The sequence below is a fragment of the Homo sapiens genome, chromosome 18 (assembly GCF_000001405.40).
Source record: "Homo sapiens chromosome 18, GRCh38.p14 Primary Assembly".
NCBI classification, from domain to species: domain Eukaryota; kingdom Metazoa; phylum Chordata; class Mammalia; order Primates; family Hominidae; genus Homo; species Homo sapiens.
Window position 1 is genome coordinate 34,692,236 of NC_000018.10, and position 23,778 is coordinate 34,716,013.

At 37.3% G+C, this 23,778-nt stretch overlaps 1 protein-coding gene across 63 annotated transcripts in view; it reads left to right on the forward strand.

The window, feature by feature from the left end:
* The window catches only part of DTNA (dystrobrevin alpha), a 398,533-nt gene that overhangs the window by 198,924 nt on the left and 175,831 nt on the right, over window positions 1-23,778 (forward strand). For 18 of the 63 annotated variants that reach the window (NM_001386795.1, NM_001386788.1, NM_001386758.1 and 15 more), the window contains exon 1: window positions 18,063-18,210. The exons of the other annotated variants lie outside the window; for them this stretch is intronic. The gene's annotated coding sequence lies outside the window, so the exon portion shown is untranslated. Of the gene's footprint in view, window positions 1-18,062; window positions 18,211-23,778 lie in introns of those variants that run through there. 63 annotated transcript variants of the gene reach the window in all.

A 23,778-nucleotide genomic window follows, 5' to 3' on the forward strand; every position in this document is an offset into this window, starting at 1 on the left:
AAGTAAAAGAAGAGCTCCGTTCTGGGGAAGGAAACCTCACAGAGGGGGTCCGTGGCACTCTGTGCCAAGCACCAAAGCAGACGTTCCATGAACATTATCTTATTTAATCTTCATAATAACCCCACAAATTAGCTATTATTATCCCTGTTATTCCGAGAAAAAAAACTAGGGTTCCAATAGCTTAGCTAACTTGCCAATGTTGTATTTCTGGTAAGTGGCAGAATGAGAATGTTAGATCTTTCCACTGCAGCAAACTGCCACTCTAAAAGAGCTTTCCAATTTAATCCTATAAGAAGAATATGTTTGTTAGATAGTGTTAAAATTTTCCATTTAAAACATTTCCCGAGGAGTAAGCTATTTATAACTGCACAGATCTTTACTCATTGGCAAATAAGTTTATGTTTAGGTTGATGCTAAAATTAGCATTATTTCTGTTCAACAAGAGTTTAAAAGATGTAGCACCTTGTGGTTCTGCAAACTATTTATACAAAATCTTCTTCGTTGATGTGCACATAAGCCTGGAAATGATGGTATCTAAAGCTGTAGACTGATAGAATTTTAGTGCTAAATGTTATCTGGGATTACCACTGGAGGTGGAGTCTCTTTAAGGCAAGAGTTTCTGTCTCTCTTTCTTTTTTCTCCTTAAGAATATTTATGAAATAAATATCTATGACTAATTATAAACGAATTTCTTTAGAATGCAAAAAAATTTCCTAGACATAGTGATACTATTAGCACTTCTTAAAGAAGTACATAAACACATTCTGAAATTTTTATAACACTATTCAAGGGCCATGCATAAGAATAATAATGTATATTAATAACTCAAAATTAAATTTAATTGCAAAAATCAGCATCCGTAGAGAAGGGTTCCTTTGTGAAAAATCATAAGATGCATAGGCAGCATTTATACTTATAATGATCATTCATTCATTCATTCATTTTTTAAACATATATTGCACATCTTCTATGTTCCCTGGCTCTATGTTAGGCACCTGGGAGCCTGAGATAAATAAAGTTTAATTATTTCAAGTAATATCCTAATTATATTTGCCATAGATTATATCATAGAGTCATAGAATATCATAGAATTGAAGCATCAGAAAGGATATTTCAGATCATGCAGCCCAGACCTCCTAATTTTTAGTTTGAGGAAATTGAAGACTAGAGAGCTTAAGTACTACCCAAATAATTAGCAGCAAAGCCACAACTCAGACATGTCTGAGTCTCCTACTACCCAGCTCTTCTCTACTATACAATAAACTAGCTAACATTTCTATATTCTTGAGTTTATTTTCCCCCAAGAGGAGATTCCTGGTCTAAGAAGAGAAGACTGAGAAAATAAAGTTGATTTTTCTTTTAAATATAATAAATAGAAGTAGATTTATGATTCATCAAGTATTAATTGAGAATTAACCAAATATCAGGAACTTTCCTACGAGCTGGTCATATGTGTGAGAAAAACAGAAATGTCTTTCTGGACCACATCCTGCTTGTCATCTTGTGTGCACTGTGTGTGTGTGTGTGTGTGTGTGTGTGTGTGTGTGTGTAAAACCCTAGCCTAAAGGCACTAAACTGCCCTTTAATGGGAATATTAAAATAGCCCAGGCAATGGCAGATATAATGTAATGCTAAAAAAGGCAACTAAAGTGATTAGAACATATTTATATTTACTTTTTTTAAAAAACGTAAAACAGTGCAATCCTTAAACACCTTATGTATTACACTGAAAAGATACAGGTATATGTCTTTGGTCTACTACTGTTATATGAATAACTTGTTTTATGACTGTTTCCTGTTAAACATTTCAGAAGTGGAAAATAATTTTTTAAAATCTCAGTACATATCTACACTGCTATATCTCTTTGAGTAAGATAAATATACAGTATTTTAGAAAAAAAAATGAGAAATCTGTTCACATTCCCATGTTATGTTCCTGATTAGTTATCTTTTGTTTGCTAATTGCCCCTTTACTTCCCTAGAAGAGCTTTGCAGAATACTATTTACCTTTTCATAAGTATGATTTTTAAAACTATGTTATCACAAGAATGGATGGAGCAATGTTTTTCCATCAAAAACTAGAATTCTGATGGGTTTACAAAAGTTAGTAATAATGTGCTTTAATGTTAGTGCATTCTTAGTAATGACAATTTACTGTTTGAGCTTGTATTTTAGCCATCAACTGATTTTTGTCACTTTCAAAAAGCAAATGTTAAGTCTGTACAGAGTTTATTTTAGTGAAATCTTAAACTGTAAATTTGATAGTTTCAAATTAGCAAAGCAGATAAATAATGTAGCTCTCAATTTTGTCTATTTCTAACCATTCTCTAACAGTAGGCTAGAAATTTTACTGCACTTTTGTCTGTGTATAATATGCCTTCACACTCAGATAAAAACTTGCAGTATTTTTACTTCCAATCCTAGTTGGATAAGTAAGGTGGCTGTCTTTTTTTTTATGAACGGGTTTTTATTATATCATGTCTCCCTAATGTATGTAAACAGCTCTAGTGTCACATGATTTCCCTTCTGAAGTTGAATTTCTTCCCAGGGTAGTAGCATCCACAAAGCATATATTTGGCAGCAAAACAGCACTAGTACATTATAGATAAGGTTACATTCTTCCCATTCAGCCACAGCAAATGAGCCTCTCATCCCCTCAGTTAAACAGGTTCTGGTTTTATACTGAAGCAGATTTAGCCTCCCTCAGTTCCTATTCCTCGTGTGTGGTCAAGGGTGCTACCATGAGTAGGACGGAGCATGCCACCACCTGAATCCCTGGCATATTCCCACGGCACTTTGAATTCTCCTTTGGCAAAGAACATTTGCAGACATTAAGTACAATGGTAAAATTACTGTACTATAACAACCTTCCCATTCTCTCCTGGATTCTCCCTCCGTACAGTGCTAGAAGTGAAAGGACCTATGTAGCAGGACTTGTAAATGCCCCCTAAATTCAGTTATTAATAGGAATTCTTCCATCTGATAATTACACCTTTGAGATTTCCCATATCGTCTAACCCTGGGGCTGTTGTGTGTAAAGTTGTAACTGCAAGCATGAAGGTTTTTCACTAAAATATTATTAATCCACCTCCTGAATCCACCTTCTCCCGATTTTGTCTTACCTAATAACAAAGGTAATAATCTAGCTCAGCTCATGATTGCCTTCTCATTAAAATATTCAGATCCTTTTCATACTCATACCTGGGGCTCGTGTGTAACATACACAGCCTTAATAAGCTGTGGTTGCCTGGTAACCAGTGGAGGCGCTAACCAGTGGAGACGGGTCAGAGAGTCTGAAGAACATAAATAACTGAAGCATTGACATTAGTTTCAGCTGGGTCACCCAAGCCTTAATTCTGCACTAGCCATCCCAGACATTTCTAATGGGCTGGTGAAACAGTAGCTTTCTCAGAAGTAGCTCCTTAAATCATAAAAACAAGAATTAGCGTTTAACATAATGTCCTTCTCTATGGTCTGATAGGAGTTTGGGGAATGACCATGGAAACAACAGGACCAGATCCTAATGCCTTTGAAATACTTTTTACAGAATACAGAATAAAGTGTTTGCAAGGACTCAACACTCTCAAACAGCTTTTTCCACGTGTTCCTGATTCTGTTTTCTCAGTTTCATTAGGAAAATTTTTTTTTAGCATTTACCCATTCTCTAATATTATCTTTTACACATTGAGTGGTTAAGGATTCTGAAACATTTTCCCTTTTCAAAGGCTCTTGCTTTAAAAAGCAATGTAGAAACAAAGAGAAAAATAGTTAGAATAAGCAGACTGATAGCAGGATGGTAAAATTAACCCATAACATAAATAATACCTGATAACTTCTGAAGAAAGCACACACAGCTTGAAGCATACCCAGTGCTGTTCCTTATACTGGGACATTTGGCCATATGCTGGGACTTTCAAAGCCCCAGGATAAGATACCCCTGTCTTAAAGTGTGTTACATTTTAAAGGGAAAAGAGAACATTACATTTTTATGAAAACAATAAGAAATACACTATTGACTTGAAAGCAAAATTAGCGTGAGTTTTTAAGGGGAAAAAAAGATAGGCCGGGCATGGTGGCTCATGCCTGTAATCCCAGCACTTTGAGAGGCCGAGGCGGGCGGAACACAAGGTCAAGAGATCAAGACCACCCTGGCCAACATAGTGGAACCCCCGTCTCTACTAAAAATACAAAAATTAGCTGGGCCTGGTGGCACATGCCTGTAGTCCCAGCTACTCGGGGAGCTGAGGCAAGAGAATCACTTGAACCCGGGAGGTGGAGGTTGCAGTGAGCCAAGATTGAGCCACTGCACTCCAGCCTGGCGACAGAGTGAGACTCCATCTCAAAAAATAAAAAAATAAAAATAAGGTAAAGGAATGGCAGCATTGGAAAGTAATTCTGTCACCAGACCCACCTCATGCACTGCCATTGCCTCACCTTCCCAGCCCACTGAGTGGGAAATTTGAAGAAGTACAGCTGTACGAGATAGACATTTCACTGTTTGGAAAGAAAGATGATTTTTTTTTAATTTAAATGAGAAAAAATGTCACTACTCATAACCAAATGATTTGTTTGGACTCTGCCCTACATATGGGCAGGACAGAAAATTATTAACCACTATTTATTGAGAGCTGTTCAGAGGCCTGCCCACTTTACTCTAAAGCAGTGGTTCTCAACCAGGAGCAGCTTAGCTGTCCAGGGAACATTTAGCAATATCTGTAGGCATTTTTGATTGATGCCTGGGAGTGGAAGTGATACTAGCATCTAGTGGGTATAGTCCAGGGATGCTACTAACAATCTACGATGCTCAGGGCAGTCCCTAAAAGTAAAGAATGATCTAGCCCAACGTATCAATAGTGCCAATGCTGAGAAATTCTTCTAAAAAGTACAAAGGCTAAAGTAACTCTGTACCAGGTTCAATATGTGGTATTTTTTTGTTACCATTGAATCTCCACCACCATTCCTTTAGGTGGGTATTACTGTTACCTCCATTTTCAGATGATGAAGTGGAGGCTCAGAAGGTTAACTTGCTCAAGGCCGTGCAGTAAACAAGTAGTGGACCCTGAATTCAAAAGCAGATTAGTTTCCTCAAGCCAACTCCTGTGAGGTCACTGTGCTTCTTTCTTCAAAAATACCTACATAACTGCCTTCTGTGTTTTCTGAAACTCTTTGTCTCCACAGGGCCCCTATTAAAATGCATGTGTGTCATTTGAGCTGGCTGACAGGATAGTTAATCATGGCCTATGATTCCATTTCCTGAGTAAATTTACTGGGTTCTAGGGACCTGGACTGGAGAAGAGATGACATTGTTAGAAGGGGAGAAAAAAGGTTCCTGAAAAGGGAAATTTCATTTTTAAAAGAACCTCTTTGATGGAGAAGATGGGATTCCAGGACAAGGCTTAGAGTGCAGAAAAGGCCTAATTGTGCACCGGGGATTTGATTGTATGAAATAGAGCGAGGCTGTGGTAGCAAGTATTGCAGGAGGAGGTGACAACTTCCTTGTTCTAAAGGAGAGGATAGGCCGATTCTTCCTGCTAGAGGAACCCATTGTCTCGCTTGTGGCCTGCCCTTGAGGGAATCTGAACTACTGGAAGAGCAAAGAAGGCAGTCAGGCATGGGCACAGAAGAAGCCCAGGAAGTGTTGGTGATCACAAAACAGGAAGGTGACAATCCACTTTAGCCAACACTTGCTGCAAAAGAACCTCATCATCCTCAGCATGTGAAAAGAAAACAGTAACGTTATTTTCAGAGAATGGTTCTGTTCCTTGATTCATCATTCCCTTGACACACTCCTTCACACAATGCGTCATCTGCTTTTCAATGCTCCTGCTGATGGCCAGCTGCACTCTGTTACCTTTTCAGGCTCTTGTTGGGTCTTGCCTCTCCACTCGTCCTGTGCCCAGTCATACAGAACCATTTGTCATCCCCCTGATGTGTCAACATTGTCTTCTCACCCTGTAGAGTCCCTTTTGTGAGTGAAGAGACTTTTCCCAGAAACTACCTGCATTAGTTTCCTAGAGTTGCTGTCACAAATTACCACAAAGCTTAGTGGCTTCAAACAATAGAAATTTTTTCTGTCATAGCTTTGTAGGCAAAAAGTCTGAAATTGAGGTGCTGGCAGGGCCATTCTCCCTATGAAGGTTCTGCGGAAGAATCCCCCCTTGCCTCTTCCTAGCTTCTGTGGGTTCCAGTAGTCCTGGCATTCCTTGGCTTGCAGCTGCATCACTGCAATCCCTGCTTCAGTCTTCACATGGCTTCCCCCGTTTGTATGTCTCTTTTTACATTCTCTCCTCTTCTTATACAGATACTAGTTGTCTTATGGTTCTCCAAAGATACACAACTAATAGGATAGATGTACATATAAAGGAGAGTTTATTAAGGAGTATTGACTCACACGATCACAAGGTAAGGTCCCACAATAGGCTGTCTGCAAGCTGAGGAACAAGGAACAAAGCTGAAGAACTTGGAGTCCGATGTTTGAGGTCAGGAAGCATCTAGCATGGGAGAAAGATGTAGGCCAGAAGACTAAAACAGTCTAATCTTTCCACGTTCTTTTGCCTGCTTTTATTCTGGCCATGCTGGCAGCTGATTAGATTGTGCACACCCAGATTGAGGGTAGGTCTGCCATTCCCAGTCCACTGGCTCAAATGTTAATCTCCTTTGGCAACACACTCACCCAGGAACAATACTTTGCATCCTTCAATCCAATCACATTGACACTCAATACTAATCATCACAACAGTCATTGGATTTAGGGCTCACCATAATCTAGTATGATCTCATTGTGATCCTTAACTGATTATATCTGAAAAGACTTTATTTCTAAAGGAGATAATAATATGCATTTGAGATATGAATTTTTGAGGGACACTCCTTGTATTAGTCAGGGTTGTCCAGAGAAACAGAACCAATATGTACTCACATGTGCACACACACACACACACACATCTATAAAACCATGTATTATAAGGAATGGGTTCATGTGATTATGGAGGCTGAGAAGTCTCCAGGTATGCAGTTCAAAGGCCTGGAAACCAGGAATGCTGATGTCCTAAGTTCCAGGCTGAATCCAAAAGCAAGAGAAGACCAGTGCCCCAGCTCAAAGACCATAATGCAGAAAAAGCACACACTCTCTTGCTCAGCCTTTTGTTTTATTCAGACACTGTAATTTTAACAGATTGGATTAGGCCCACTCACACTGGGGATGGCAATCTGTTTTACTCAGTCTACCAATTCAAATATTAATCTCATCCAGAAATACCCTTGCAAATACACCCAGAATAATGTTTGACCAAATATCTGTGCACCTGGTGACCCAGTCAGGTTGACACATAAAATTCACTGTCACACAACTCAAATACACAATGCCCCGCAGACTTTCCCTTGCTGACAAGCCTGGCAAGGGAACTGCATTCGCAGTGATTGACTTAAACCCTTCCCTGAGACTTTGGTGGAGGCACAGACAACAAATAATTCAGCATTTTACCAGCAAAGAAAAGGGGGAGAATGGTTATTAGGTAAGTAACTAATAAATCTGTTGCATTTCTATATATTTCTTTTTGGTGAAACAGACCCATCCATATTAGTCTATGCTTTGTATTTTCAAGCAACAAAAAGCAAAGCAAAACAAAACAAAAAAAAACTTGGCTAGCTTAACAAAAAAGAGACAGTTGCACTTTAGACAAGGACAGATCCAAAAGTTCAAAGGTTATACTCAGGACCCTGTCTCTTTCCGCCTTTCTCAGCACCATTTCTCTCTGGCGTTCAATTAATAGTTAAGGAGATTCTATCTATGCAGTGATGAAGAAAATCAGCAGACCTCCAAGCATAAACAATCTACCCAACTATAGATCACAGAGAAAAGAGCTTAACTTTGACCACCATAGAACTCTAATTGGCTTTCCTTAGGTCACATAAACATTCCTACTCCAACTCTTATTTTCAATCTTGATTGCTGCAGGATACCTATGATATGGATGACCCAATCAATACCCTCATCATATCCAGAAAAATATTCCTCCATTTGACCTCAGCCATCCACTTGCTTGACCACTAGAGCTGGTTACCTTCAGGAAATTAACCACTTCCACAATCAAAATAAGATACTTCTGTCTCCAAATACCACATGCTCCACTTCCAGCTCTTTTGCTCTGATATCTCACATTTGTGATTCTTTGTGTTCATTAAAGGGTCTTTTGGGCCTCATTCTTTCTCACTATCAGACTCCTCCTGTCTTTATTTTCTTCCTTACTTGCTTCTATTACATAGTTTATCCCTTGTACAAGCTTTCCTTTTATATACCTTCAAGTCCCTACCTCCTGTCCTGCCATCACATTCACCAGGCATTAGTGAACTCACTCACCTGATTTACTATTACTTGTGTCTATGTAGCTGAGCTTTGTTGCAGAAAACCACACAGCAGACCATGCTGAAATCCTACTAGGCTCATAATAAGCACTTCAGGTGTGCTTGCAGCACTCCATGTCTATCCTACTATTTCTATAGTCAGCTCACACTCCTCCTCTGCATGGTGACTGGTTCATCACTTTCCCATTTGCATCATGCTTCTTCTCCCACTCCGTGTCTGAGCTACCAACCTTGCTTCTTACTTCATTGAAAACATAAAAGCCATTAGATAGACTCCCTCTTCCTTAGGTTTCCAAACATGCAAGTATACCATCATCTGCAGCCTTCAACTCCTTTTTCCCTAGTGTCGCAGGAAAGGCAGTTTCTTGCCACATACACTCTGTATCCTATCTCCTTTCACCCTCTTAAGGACTGAGTGCATTCAACCAGCCATTTTCTCTCTCACATGCTCCGTCTCTCTGCCTGTAGTGGACCACTCAGCAGGTAAATATTTTTAAGAGTCTCCTATATTTAGAAATCTTTCCCTGACTTCATATTTCCTTTCAATTGCTGCCCTACATTTGCTCTCGTACAAATTAAAGTTTCTAAAAACACAAAAAGTTGTCTACACAGGCTGACTCCACTTCCTTGACCTCTATCCTTCTCCTGTTCCTCAACATTCCCCCAAAAAAGGTTCTTGTTAAGTCACTGTAATCTCCATATTCCAAAGCCAGTGGATGTTTTTCCCATTCTCATCTTACTCAACTTCTCAGTAGCTTTCAACTCAAGAATCACCTGTTTCTTCCTGAAAAATTCCCTTGTTTTCAAGTCCATAGAAGCACGCTCACATGGTGTTTCTCCTGCTTCCTAGGTCTCCCTGAGCTGGGGCAGCATCCTAGGCATGATCTCGATGTGTGCAGTCTCTTCTCTTCCCAGGACTTAAAAAAAAATTCCTCTCTACCTACAACTTCCACATGTGTATCTGCATCCAAGCCCTATTTTCAGAGCTTCAGGTTAATACAGACACAGCCTATGTGACATCTCAAATTCAAAACTGTTCCTGGCACACACCTCTCCCCTCATTACATTCCCTCAGCGCATTCCTGCACCAAGCCAGCTTCTGCATTAAAGTAAATGGCATCTCCATTTATCTCAGAATGCTGGGAGGTTGTTTAAATACTTTATTCTCACTCGTTTTCCCACATTCAATCTGTGACTGATCCCTGTCCATTCTACCTTCAAAATATGTTTCAAATGTGTCGCTTGTCATTGTCCCCATTGTCAGCATCCAGTCCAGCATCATCAGTCAGCCTCCAAACTCGTTTCACTATCCACCCTTTCCTCTGTCCCATCCACTCTTCACACCATAGACAGAGTGTTATTTTAAAAACAAAAGTTGTGTTTTATCACTATTATCATTGAAATTCTTCAGAAGCTTTGTGCTGCCCTGAGAATAAATTTCAGAATCCCTAACATGGGCTTCAAAGTCCTGGTCCCTGTGTGACCCTGTCCCCATCTGCACAGTGCTCCAGCCACACTGCTGTTCCTGCATTCCTCCATCACACCAGGCTTCCTCCTACTCACGGACTCGGGTCTCCCTTTGCCTGAAATCCCTCGCCTCCTTTTTCACAGGTGTCATCTCAAATGTCACTTTCTCAGAAAGGTCAGAGATACCACCAAATCACCTCAGATGTGACATTCTATCCTCATAGCCCATTCCAAGCATGGACACAGACTAAATTATCACGTGAAGCTGCGGCCAGCTCCCGAAGCTTTCCTAAAATCTTCACAATAACAGAGACGATACAAGTCAGAAATCATTAAAATTAGTCTTCAGCATAAGTATTAAACTGTAAGTCTTGCCCTTCATAAGACAACTGCTAGATTGGCCTTTCTTATTCATCCTAATAATAGAATCCATTGGCGTTTCTTCTTGGGCCACCGTTTTTAGAACTTGCTTCCCCCACAGGAAGGCGTTTGCTTTGACCTGGACCTTATCCCCACGTCCAGAACCTCAGCACCTATTCTCTCCCTTGATCTAGCCCCTAGTCCCTTCCCCATTCCAATTAATAACTTGTAATTTTCCACCTATATCACCCATAATAAACACAGCATTTTTTTCTCTTTTACATAAAGTGGCTTAATTTCTTTTTCCTCCACCTCTGTCTTCCAGACTAAGCTATATATAAGCAATACACCTATTAAAATTTATTCCAAAAAAAAGAGCAATCATAAAGCCATGAACTCTGTAGCCTTCCTTAGAATCTTGGAAAATAGACAGTTTTAAAGGTAACAATTCATTTTACCCAACCTGCATATTTACATAGAGACAGATAGGAAATGGTAACTATAAAGATGTTGACTGTGGTTGTTGGGATTATAAAGGATTAGAAAATATTTTTGCTAACTTTTATTGTTTAATTGGTCTGCAGTGTGTACTGAGGATGTCATAAAGTCTGAAACAGATAAAATAGTCTTTATGTTCATTCTTTACATATGGTTGCTACAGGTATAACAGTATGGTTAGGAAAGCTCAACCGCAGGATTGAATGTGGATTGTCGGGTTTCTCTATGCTCTGTATGTATGTATAGAAGAATTTAAATACAAAACTGGTCATCACTGGGATGTAGAGCGTTCCTACATGTACTACAAATATAAGTGGCTAATATCCTTTGAAAATTCGTCCTTGATGAATAATATAGAATGTTAATGTCTTCCTAACTTGTATACTTATAAGCCAGAATTTTGGTGCTGTATTAGGAGGTTCTTCCTAATGTCTCGCCTGGCAAAAACGTACTATGGTAGCTTCAGTAAAAAACGAAGAACATCTATTCACCATTATTTTCACTGGGATATACTTGCAAATGGTCAAGTGCCTCCCTCACAGGCTTCTCTTCCACTTTCCTTCCTGTTTATTGTTCACCATCTTACCTTTTCCAGTTTCTCCCTTTCACATGTCACTATGAGGCTCCAAACAGAATGCAGTGGCCTGATGGAGAACTGACCAGTGTGGAACAAGGAGCATGCCTCCCAGATTGACTCCAGGGATCTCTGAAATATCAGATGTACAGTCCTTGCTGGCAGAGTATTTGCCACCACAGACACCCAGAAGTGTTCAAAGTGCCTGTTATCTTTATATTTTGGGTCAATTTATATGAAATTTGTTCAATTACTAGATGGACCTTTTTTATTCATTCCAATAATGGAATTCATTTAAGTGTATAGAATGAAATTCCAAATATTCGTTTGTTGCTTGTCTCAGTTTAGTCAAACAATTTCCACAATAGTGTGCATTTCTTCAGTATTTCCTTCTTTTCTATTCTCCCCTTCTTGGGAATTTTGCTATGTGTTTTCTTGAACCACATATGCTTCTCTTTTTCTTTCCCCCAAATCACCTTATATCCTTTTCAAACTGTTTCTTAATCTTTGTTTTACCATAATAATTTATTCTACAGTCTTCCCTTAATTTTTTCTAACTTGCTTTATTTTCTCATATTCTTTTTTTATCATAATGTCATCAATAATTAACTTTGTGTGTCTACAGGGTACATGACATCGCATTTGCTTCCCAGTTCTCTCCATCCCATTATCTATGATGCATACACACATATTACTTGATATGTAGTTATAGTTCACCCTCCCCTTGCCCACTGACTACATAATTACTTGTCCTTTCCCCAGGGAGCCTTACAAAGGAAGGAAGGGAGAAAGTGGAGTCACTCTGTCACTCCTACATCTCATCTTGGTCACTGAATATGCTTTTAGAGTACATCAGGCATTTCTCCATAGAGCTTTAGAATGTGTACTGTGCTGATGTATTCCAAGTCCCTGAATACAAAGTAAAAGAATCTGGGAAAATACACCTAATATCCCCCAAACAAATGCTTTCTAAACTCAGGGGACACTGACTGGGTGATTTTTCCCCTCCTTAACATTCTGCCTAAACTGACCTAATTAAATTCTCTGTCTACTCTCAAATCAGTTGGTCATATTCCTTCTCATATATTGTTATAGCTACAGTTAGTATTTCCTTTTTCCATGTTCTTATCTCCCCATCTAGATTGTAGGCCATTTATATTTCTTTGACTACACCTAGTTCATTAACTGTTTTTAGAAAGCACTTAATTCAAAGGTACTGAATCAGTACATCTCATTTCAGAATAAGCCACACAGAAGAAACTAAGAAACAATAATCTCTAAATCTTTGTATCCAGACTAAGAAAATGAATTCTTTTAAAAGTGAGATCTCAGGAATTTGCCTGTTTTCTTGACTTCACAGGTAGACTTAATTTTCAGAAATGTCCTTCCCTTTTCCCTTTAGCTGAGAGAGAATATATCCATCAAATAGAGATGTCATGGCTGTGCAAACACACCTGGGTTTACAGGATATGGGAATGTCACAGAGAGCGACCAGACAGGTACTTATTGAGTTACCTGACAGTCTTCCACTCAAAGCACATGGATTTTCTTCTACCCCAACGTACTAAAAGGCCATAAAAGAACTCAGAGGCCATAAAAGAGCCATAATAATTTTATATCAATCTCAGCTCACTAACTTGATGAGCACCCTGACCCTTCAGCTCTTTTGGAATTTTTCCATTTTGTTTCCCACAGAACAGATTTTGATCTGGGAGAATATTTACTCCTCAGTATCAATTCTGTCTTGCCACCAATAGAAGGTGCCTTTAGATATACTGCCGTGTGGGTTGTCCCTGATAAAAAAAAAATAAAAAGCAAACAAACAAAACAGCATCACCCACCTCAAAGTAACTACCATTCCTGACTTGGACTCCAGAACACATTCATGGGGTTTCACAGATGACATCAAACTGGAACTGAGAGGGAAGCCCTCAGAGATGAGTTGCCATTTAGAATCAGCATGGTAAAATTACAAAAAGCAAAGTGGACTCACAAAGAACTCTGTTTCCTTTCTAGCACTAGAGTAATTTCATGCTGGAACTTTAAGCAAGTTATTTCACCTCTTTAAGCCTCAGATTCCTCATAAATAAAAATCAATAAAATGAGGTATAATACTAAATTATGAGTATTGATTCTGCCAATTCTTAAATTTTGTTCTTAGACTTTCTAACTCAAACTCAGTAATCTCCCTCCACTTCCAGGAATCTATTCTAAGGAAATAACCCAAGGTATAACCAAAAATTTATATACAAAGATATATTGCTTATAATTAGAAACCTGGAAAAGACTAAACATATATTAGCAGTAAGGGATAGTTAAATAAATTCTGATATATACGAATGTTAAAATTTTATGCCACTATTAAAAGGTATTTTCAAAGAATGTATAATACCATAGTGTGCTTATTTTACATGTCTGTCTTTCAGTGAAAAGGCAATATTCAAAATTATTCTGAATTTTTTTTTCGAGATGGAGTTTTGCTCTTGTTTCCCAGGCTAGAGTGTAGTGGCGTGATCTCAGCTCACCGCAACCTCCGCCTCCCAGGTACAAGCGATTCTCCTGCCTCAGCCTTCCAAGTAGCTGGGATTACAGGCAATACGCCACCATGCCCAGCTAATTTTGTATTTTTAGCAGAGACGGGGTTCTTCCATGTTGGTCAGGCTGGTCTTGAACTCCCGACCTCAGGTGATCCACTCGCCTCGGCCTCCCAAAGTGCTGGGATTACAGGCATGAGCCACCGCTCCCAGCCATGAATTTTTAATGTATGAAGAAATACATCAAAATGTTGATACTTGTTATTTCTGATAGTTGAATTATAAGTGCTTTTAATATTATTTCACAAATGTTTTCTGTATTTTTCAACTTCTCTACAATGGACATGTAACATTATCTTTTCATGAGAACATGGAAAGTTACAAGTTTTTATTATTAAGTTTAAAAACCAACGTATTTTTCACTAAGAATACATTCAGAATATAAGTATATAATTATAATTTTTAAACACATGAAAAAATACAAAAACAGAGGCTTGAGGATAAATTTCCAAAAATGATATGGCAAAATGATTCAGAGTTCACAATAGGTTATCTGTAAGATATGGAGCCATCAATTTCATAGTGTTATTTAAAAACGGATATTTTCTGTGATGTACTCACAGAAGAAAAACATAAAGAAATCCTTATTATTTATAGCCCCATTGTTACAATTCAAAGGAAAAGTGCATGTTTGAAATATCTTAAGGGTAAAATAGAATATCTTGATATTAAATTGTATAAATTGAGATGGCTTGCAACAGACTTGTTCTTTCATAAGAAATTTTTATGAGCAGAATAGATACTAATCCGATTAATATTTTTTAGGTCAGCTGCTCAAAGTGGCCCAAGAAACAATGTGCTTGCAAAAATTGTTCAGTAGATCACAATCTTTTTTTGTTGCTGTCAACACACTTTCTTTTTTAATTTAAACCAGTGCCCTAACAATAAAGCACTTTGTGGTATGAAAAAATAAATAATAATTTTTAACTATGATGTGAAAATTGCATTTTCAGAGGTTCAAATTGTTTTGCTTGTTTTAATTTCATTAACATTGGCCATCAACGTTTTTTGCAGCCATGTTGCTTAATTTAAGCGCGTGACTTCTGAGCCCATGTTGTTACCTTGAGTTTGTAGGAAATTAGGTGCTCTCACATCTGAAGAGAGGGCAGTGAAGCATATAACTTTGAAGCTCCCTCCTGCTTCTATGGGACTAGGATTTGGCAAATTGACTTCCTGGGGTACCTTCTGAAGCATCATTACCTATGTCTCAAAAACTTTTTCTAAGTGATTGAATTCTTCATATGAAATTAAGTGGGTCACAAGAGCACAGATTATGTTGCATATTTTGTTCACATGAGGGGGAAGTTTAATTTTAACATTTGCAAAAGGGGATTTAAAACTTTGTGAAACCAAATATACTGGCGTCGTATTCCCTAGGGGTTAAAGAATCAACAGTCACTTTAACATCTGACAAAGGATGCACCTTCTGTTTGGCAATCAATCATATTAAATGCTCTAGTAACAGTGTACCTTAACTAGATAAATGATAAGCTCTTACATTTACAAAATGAAAAACAATTAGATACGTGTAATGGCCACATAACCAATCTCCAGGGGAAAAAAATGTACAAGGTAAACACTCCTGATGAAATGAATGCAGTCAGTGAGAGTCTCTATTCAGCCAGCCACACATGAGAATAGGTATGAATTATTCAAATTGGGGTTCAAATTATTCAAATAGTCTCTCCTTCATCAACTGTTTTGAAGAGGATTAGGGAGTGCTAATTTTCCGGTGTAGCTGCTCCTTGCCTTTTTGCCTGGTCGGCCTCACACATTTTTTTGGATTGGATCATCATGAGTCACCGCGCTGAAGGATTTTTCAAGGTTGGAGCAGTGCCAAAGCTATTTTAATCATCCCAACTGATTTGTTGTGGGGCTTTTCTTTCTTACTTACTTTTTAATGATAGAGAAATCTTGCAATGTGCAACATTCACTTTATTCTTTCTGGTAACTTCCTGCAATGAAAAATAAAATTGTTTTTTTCTACCACAGGCTTTTTTAACCCCTGGCTGCTTCTTTGTACCATATTCTTCAAAGGGATTTTAATGCTAATTTTCCTATACCATTGGCTTTGGTGTCAGGTAATTTCCTGAATTTGATTACGATGGAGAGAAGCAGCTAAAAGTCTACACTGGTGAGCAGTTTACAGTACTTGTTAGAGATCAAGGTGACCTTGTAAAGGCTTCTATTGACACAATATTGGTTAATTACTAGAAATGTAATCTATGTATATAATTTATATTTTAAAGCCCTTTATGATGAAGATTCTTTACAGTTCATCTTAATTTGAGAAAGTATCATTAACAAATAACATATAGACCATTTTTTAAGAATCCAAAATGAATACCACAATGAACTGCTGTACTTGTGTTTTTCTTCCATATTTAAAGATGAAAAAAATTAACTACCATGTTTAACATTCTTCCCACAGTCCATTTCATACTAGAAATATGCTTAACCTTCTGACTGATCAGTTGCTCCTAGCTGGTTTGTAGGTTGGAGCAAGCAGCCCTTGCTCTTTGCCTAAAAAGGTCTCTATATTTATGCTGTGTTGTTATGTAAACCTATGTTAGGAAACATAGGATTGTTAATGCACATCTTGTTGAAAATGACAGTTTATTCAGCAAAGGGAAGTCACGTGCCAGTCAGCTTTCTCATGGTCCCTCTTGTTCAAAAATCACATATTGACTAAATAATACTAGCCAGAATTTATTGAGCATTTAGTATGCTTCAAGCTTGGTGCTTCCCTTGGACTATCTCATTTAATCCATTTCCATTCCTTGTTAAAGTAGGAATTTTACAGAAGAGTAAACTGAGGGTTAGAGAGGTTAAGTAACCTATCCAAGATCACAAAAGTAGTATGGGCTAGAGCCAGATTTCAAATCCGCATCTGCTTGATTCCACAATTGCTCTTCTTAAGAACTCCTCTGCCTTGCCTCTCTTTGTGATGTGATGTACTAAGAAAAATTCTGTGCAGATCTCTGAAGGGTTTAACCACAGCAAGCCATGCTCTGAAGACAGTCCTGGAGGAGTTGAGGGAAAGCTTTCAGATGCCATCTTTATCCATTGAAGAAGTAGCCCTACCTAGTGCCAAGTCTTTTGATGGTTACTTGGTAGAGAAAGATGAGTAAGACAATGTTCCTGTTCCTCTGGGAGTCCATCTCTAAAGAGAGAAGATAGATATGCAAACAAATTATTGTGAAATGTAAGCTAAGTTTGGGAAATAAGGAAGGTTGTGCAAGAGCAGAGTGATTATGCGAGGCCTGAGGGATGAAGTAGCCATCCCTGGAGGACGGGGGCACCCACTGGCTGATTAATGTACCATGGTGGGAGGAAGGACCATGCTGACATGCTGGCAAGCGGGGAAGCTCCAGTCACCTGGGACTCCTTCAGCTTTTCCCTAAAGGACTGGTAATGCGCTGAAGGTGATTCCTTAAATCCTAACTACATAGCCATTGGTTTGGGGAGTCCCAGGATTGCTCAGAGTTTGTATCGTTTCAAATCCAAGACTGCTGCTCTTAATATAGAGCCCTCCCCACCTCAGCAAATATAGCCTGATCGATTCCAGCAGGCTGTGTTGCCTGCTTTAAATTTAAATGATAAATTTTAAAAGAACTGAAATCTGTTTAAATAACAGTTAAACACAGGGTTTTGATGAAAAGAAAATGAAGAATTTTACCTCCCACATCTAAGCTGTGATTAGAAGTTTGCTCTAGAAAAAAAGCACTTTGAAACTAGCCCTTCATACACTGATGTAGTGTTTTCAGCATCTGTGTTTACTGAATACATTACTGCATTTTTTAATGTTTCTAAAGGAGCTGTGGGATTATTGCTGCATTTCCTATTGAGTTAGTAACTGACATTTAAAAATATTTAGTTGGCTGATGTAGTAGATAATGATCAGTATTTCAAAAGATTAATGGTGACTTAAAATGCATAGAGATATTTCATTAGTTAGTTGGGAAACCTTTTATTCTTATACTTCTGTTATTTTTTTCTTGTTCATGAAGTTGAGTCAGCAAGAGAAGCATATTCAAATTAGACTTGTCATACAGAAAAAAAAATCTGACTTTGTCAGGGTGGGTGGAGGGGAAAAAAGCAACTTTTTGTCAGTCTTTTGTATTTCAGCAGCTGGATTCATTGCTACCATGGTAACGGACCACATGATGAGGTGTATTAGATTGCTGTGTGTTGAGCACAAGGGGAAGAATGAACACAGCTTTTTATTGAAGTTAAAGGTTACTTTGGAGTTTGTTTGGAAATGTGTAAGGTCAAATACTATAGTTTTCAGCATATGTAGTACTTCAGAGGAAGAATTAAGGGGCATGTTGGTGCATTTAACTACAAAACCAGGTAAGGTACAATTGAATCTATGAAACTGAACTCTCTGACTTCTGTCGCAGTGGCATAACTTGCTGGGTGGAATTTCACTGTCGCCCCCACCCCCACCCCCACATGGGCACCCGATAAATTTCTCCTGCCCACCCTCCTAGCTCCTCCACCTCCGGTTTCAGCTGTTTTTAATTTGAAAGTCTAAGATGTTGTGAAATGTTATAGTTTTATGGCAGTGTGTGTGTGTGGGAGTGTGTGTGTGTGTGTGTGTGTGTGTAAGTCAAAGAAAGAAAACTGCAAAGGAAGTAATAAGAATGCAATAACTGGTGTCTTCAAATCAGCGTAGACCTGAACAAAGTGTTTTCTTGTTTTGTTTTTTGAAAATGGTCCGCTTTTCTTAGAGGACACCTTATTAGTGGCATTTGTCCAAAGCTACTTGTCTCTTCTACTAAATTAAGCAGTAGGACAAAGTTTTCCAGCAAAGTTATCTAGTGTGTTTATTGTATGTGAGCTTTTGTTTTTCTTTCATCATATTATTGCGAGCCTCATCTAACATGTATAGTCCGGTTTTATCTATATTTTTTAAAACATCTATTATTTCTATTAGCATTCTAATCTTTTAGGCATTGTGGCTGTATGTGTGATACAGGATTTAAAAATAGAAGTAAATACAACATGGGTGAGTGCAAAATGAACTCTTTTGCTTAGAGGCTGGTAGGAACTGAATGTAAACAATTCAGTGTGGCTGTGTGGAGCATCAATTCCCAGAGCGCAGACGCCTTCTCATGCGTTGTTTACATATCACCCTGGCAGCTTGTTTCAAAATGGGAGGCTTTGGTACACACAGAGCAAGTTAAAGGAGAACAATTTCTTTAATAATAACTTATTTTAATTACTTTTTCATGGCTTTTACTGATGTTTGATGTTTGATGTTTGACTTTCTCATAAGATATTAGGATTTACTCTAATTTTAGCCAGGGGTTTACTTAATGCAACTTCTTTCCTTCCTCTTAGAACAAAGCTGTCTTAGCAGCTTTTAGAAATAAAACCTAATTAAATAGTAGCAAAGCCCTACTGTTATTCTAGTGTATTCACTGTCCACCTGAAAAAGTGCAGATATAGGAAAATCTTTTTGAAAAATACTTTCTTAGTGAACTAAAATCAATTATGTGCCCTTAATTGGCACTAATTAGGATAAAAGCCAATAAATTTTCCCAAGTTTGTTCATACAGCATGCTTTCTTACAAAAGGAAAACTTAGATTTTATTAAATTTATTTATGCTCTGTGATTTTCGTCGCTATTTCCTTGATCTCTCTAGTTTCCATATGTCCAAGCCATTTTCTAAGTTTAAGCAAGGAATTATAATCATTATTCAAAAAAATTATTTGCCATGATTTCAAATAAAGAGAACTGTTTCCATGATGACAGATATCAAAAGTACTATAATAGCATCTAATATTGTAAATGTTCATGCTTGTATCTGAATTTATTCCTTTCTTTTTCCCTTTGTTGTTTGAGTACAAATGAGCTATGACCATGTCTTTCAAAACATGAGATATTTTCATAAACATAAGTTGTTACTACTAGAGAATAGGGAGTTTCTAAAAATCAGTGAAAGATGGTACCTGGTAAACTATTCTAAAGTATGAAATTATTGAAACTGACAATATCTGAGGTAGAAAGTGTTATGTTTTATTAAAAGAAAAATAAAAGAGGGAAAGAAGAAGCAAGACAGAGACACAGAGAGAGACAAAAAAATGAAAAGATATACAAAAGGTAAAGATAAAAGTGTAAATGATCTCTTACCCAAGCATTTTTCTTTCCCGCCGGTACTGGAAAGGGTTAAATCTGTATCTGTCAGAGAAGAGAGTAGTATGGATGAGGGAAATTACTAAAAAGTATTTTTATTTCACTATTCCATCTTTAAAATACATGATAAAGTATAGATAGTTCCTTTCTATTAAATAAAATGAAAAAAAATCTACAGTGAGGTTGTCTCAGTCTTTGTAGTTATGGGCTACCAGCCAGCTTAGATATTAGAGCTACAAGTGTGTAAAAACCAAGATATGCCCAAATTTCTGTGATCTTTATTCATCTGACATTAGACCATATGTACACAAAAACTTCTGAAATAATTTTAACAGAGATCACAAGATGGAAGATTCTTTTATAGTTGTTTTGGTATTTTCATTCTTAAGAAGCAAAATTGACTTTTGATGTACTTGCTTTAAACTGTAAATTTTGCCAGGATGTTTTAATTGTACAGTATTTGTTTCAACTCTTGTTTAAATTATGCTTTCTTGTTAATTTTGAATAATTTGTAGTGTTTGTTAACATTTTAGCTTTAATCTCTAGAGCTGCCTAGAGTCATAGACCAATAGATAATTATCTGCAAACATTTACCTCTACTAAGGAGACAGATATTTAACAGTTTTTTAACATGTTAAAAAACAACCATATTGAGTAAAATAGTATAGCCTCTGCTAAAAAATTAATGATATTTAAATTCCAAGAAAATATTTCTAAAATAGATGAAGATCAAGCCAATGAATGATGACTCAATATCATCTAGATACTCCATTTTTAGGAGTTATTTTTTAACCTCCGATTTTATTAAGGTGAATTTTATTATTGACCACTATGTAATTTTTGACATGAAAAGAATTGGATTTTTTTTTTAGAAATCTAAGACTTTTCAAATGAAAAAGAAAGTAATGGTACCATGATCATGATGATAATGATAACGACAATAATGATTAATTTGGAGAATAAGATAGATTAGAAAGCTCTTGCCTCTTTGTGTAGTAAAAGGCCAATGCTCTTAGAAGGAAAGTGGAAATTACTAATGGGTAGTATGATTCTCAGAAATTAACCCTCAAATTTAATTAATTATGTTAATAGCATTTATAAGTCACTAGGAATAGAGGTGCTTGGTATGTTATTATCAGACTTTATTATAAAATATCTTGGTTTTGTTCAATAAGCGATAGAGGCTGTCATCAAAAATGATTAAACTTAGATATGCAGCGTTATTTCTGAGGGCTCTGTTCTGTTCCATTGATCTATATCTCTGTTTTGGTACCAGTACCATGCTGTTTTGGTTACTGTAGCCTTGTAGTATAGTTTGAAGTCAGGTAGTGTGATGCCTCCAGCTTTGTTCTTTTGGCTTAGGATTGACTTGGCGATGCGGGCTCTTTTTTGGTTCCATATGAACTTTAAAGTAGTTTTTTCCAATTCTGTGAAGAAAGGCATTGGTAGCTTGATGGGGATGGCATTGAATCTGTAAATTACCTTGGGCAGTATGGCCATTTCCACGATATTGATTCTTCCTACCCATGAGCATGGAATGTTTGTATCCTCTTTTATTTCCTTGAGCAGTGGTTTGTAGTTCTCCTTGAAGAGGTCCTTCACATCCCTTGTAAGTTGGATTCCTAGGTATTTTATTCTCTTTGAAGCAATTGTGAATGGGAGTTCACTCATGATTTGGCTCTCTGTCTGTTGTTGGTGTATAAGAATGCTGATCTTTGACAAACCTGAGAAAAACAAGCAATGGGGAAAGGATTCCCTATTTAATAAATGGTGCTGGGAAAACTGGCTAGCCATATGTAGAAAGCTGAAACTGGATCCCTTCCTTACACCTTATACAAAAATCAATTCAAGATGGATTAAAGACTTAAACGTTAGACCTAACACCATAAAAACCCTAGAAGAAAACCTAGGCATTGCCATTCAGGACATAGGCATGGGCAAGGACTTCATGTCTAAAACACCAAAAGCAATGGCAACAAAAGACAAAATTGACAAATGGGATCTAATTAAACTAAAGAGCTTCTCCACAGCAAAAGAAACTACCATCAGAGTGAACAGGCAACCTACAAAATGGGAGAAAATTTTCGCAACCTACTCATCTGACAAAGGGCTAATATCCAGAATCTACAATGAACTCAAACAAATTTACAAGAAAAAAAACAAACAACCCCATCAAAAAGTGGGCAAAGGACATGAACAGACACTTCTCAAAAGAAGACATTTATGCAGCCAAAAAACACATGAAAAAATGCTCACCATCACTGGCCATCAGAGAAATGCAAATCAAAACCACAATGAGATACCATCTCACACCAGTTAGAATGGCAATCATTAAAAAGTCAGGAAACAACAGGTGCTGGAGAGGATGTGGAGAAATAGGAACACTTTTACACTGTTGGTGGGACTGTAAACTAGTTCAACCATTGTGGAAGTCAGTGTGGCGATTCCTCAGGGATCTAGAACTAGAAATACCATTTGACCCAGCCACCCATAAATCATGCTGCTATAAAGACACATGCACACGTATGTTTATTGTGGCATTATTCACGATAGCAAAGACTTGGAACCAAGCCAAACGTCCAACAATGATAGACTGGATTAAGAAAATGTGGCACATACACACCATGGAATACTATGCAGCCATAAAAAATAATGAGTTCATGTCCTTTGTAGGGACATGGATGAAACTGGAAATCATCACTCTCAGTAAACTATCGCAAGAACAAAAAACCAAACACCGCATATTCTCACTCATAGGTGGGAATTGAACAATGAGATCACATGGACACAGGAAGGGGAATATCACACTCTGGGGACTGTTGTGGGATGGGGGGAGGGGGGAGGGATAGCATTGGGAGATATACCTAATGCTAGATGACGAGTTAGTGGGTGCAGCACACCAGCATGGCACATGTATACATATGTAACTAACCTGCACAATGTGCACATGTACCCTAAAACTTAAAGTATAATAATAAAAAATAGAAAAAAAAATGATTAAACTTATCAAGAATTGTACAATGTGTGGGTCAGTATCTGACAGGAAAAATGCAAACTCATTTCTAGGAAAGAACAATTAGTTATATTTTTAGTATATAAAGGGGCAATTAACTGGTCTTCACTTCATGGTATTATTAGCTGGATATTTTAGAGTGGTATTACTATAATAATTCCCCACTCTCAAACACACATGTTATGAAATGTTCACTAGACACCATTTCAATATTTTAATTGTTTTTAATTTTTTAATTATTTATTTTAAATAAACAATATTTTATATCTGAAACCTGTTAATTTTGATTTGTTTGGTGGAACATTTACTCAGAAAAATTACTTACCTCTACACATCCCTGACATGAAAGAAAATACTGGATGGATTGGCAATTCCAGTATAAAATATGGATCTATGAAAGTAGTGAAAGAAAATATAGAACTTATGATAGAAAAGGATGACCTCAAAGACAAAAATCATAAAGGAATGGTAATATGAAAACTTACTCCTTCTAGAATATGTTATATACAAAATTAAAAAGATAAATGGCAAATTAGAAACAACATTTGCAACATATATGAAAGAGAAAAAGTGAATATCCATGTTATGTAATGAGGTCTCATAAATCTGTAAGAAAAAGCACTTCCCTTTTAATTTTAAAAATATCTACAAATTAAACACATGTCATTTTAATAATTAGCAACTATTTTTTAAAGGGGAAAGCAAAAGGAGGAAGGGGGAGATAATGTCTGGTTTAGGAAAAGTCTGGAAAATGGGAACACATATA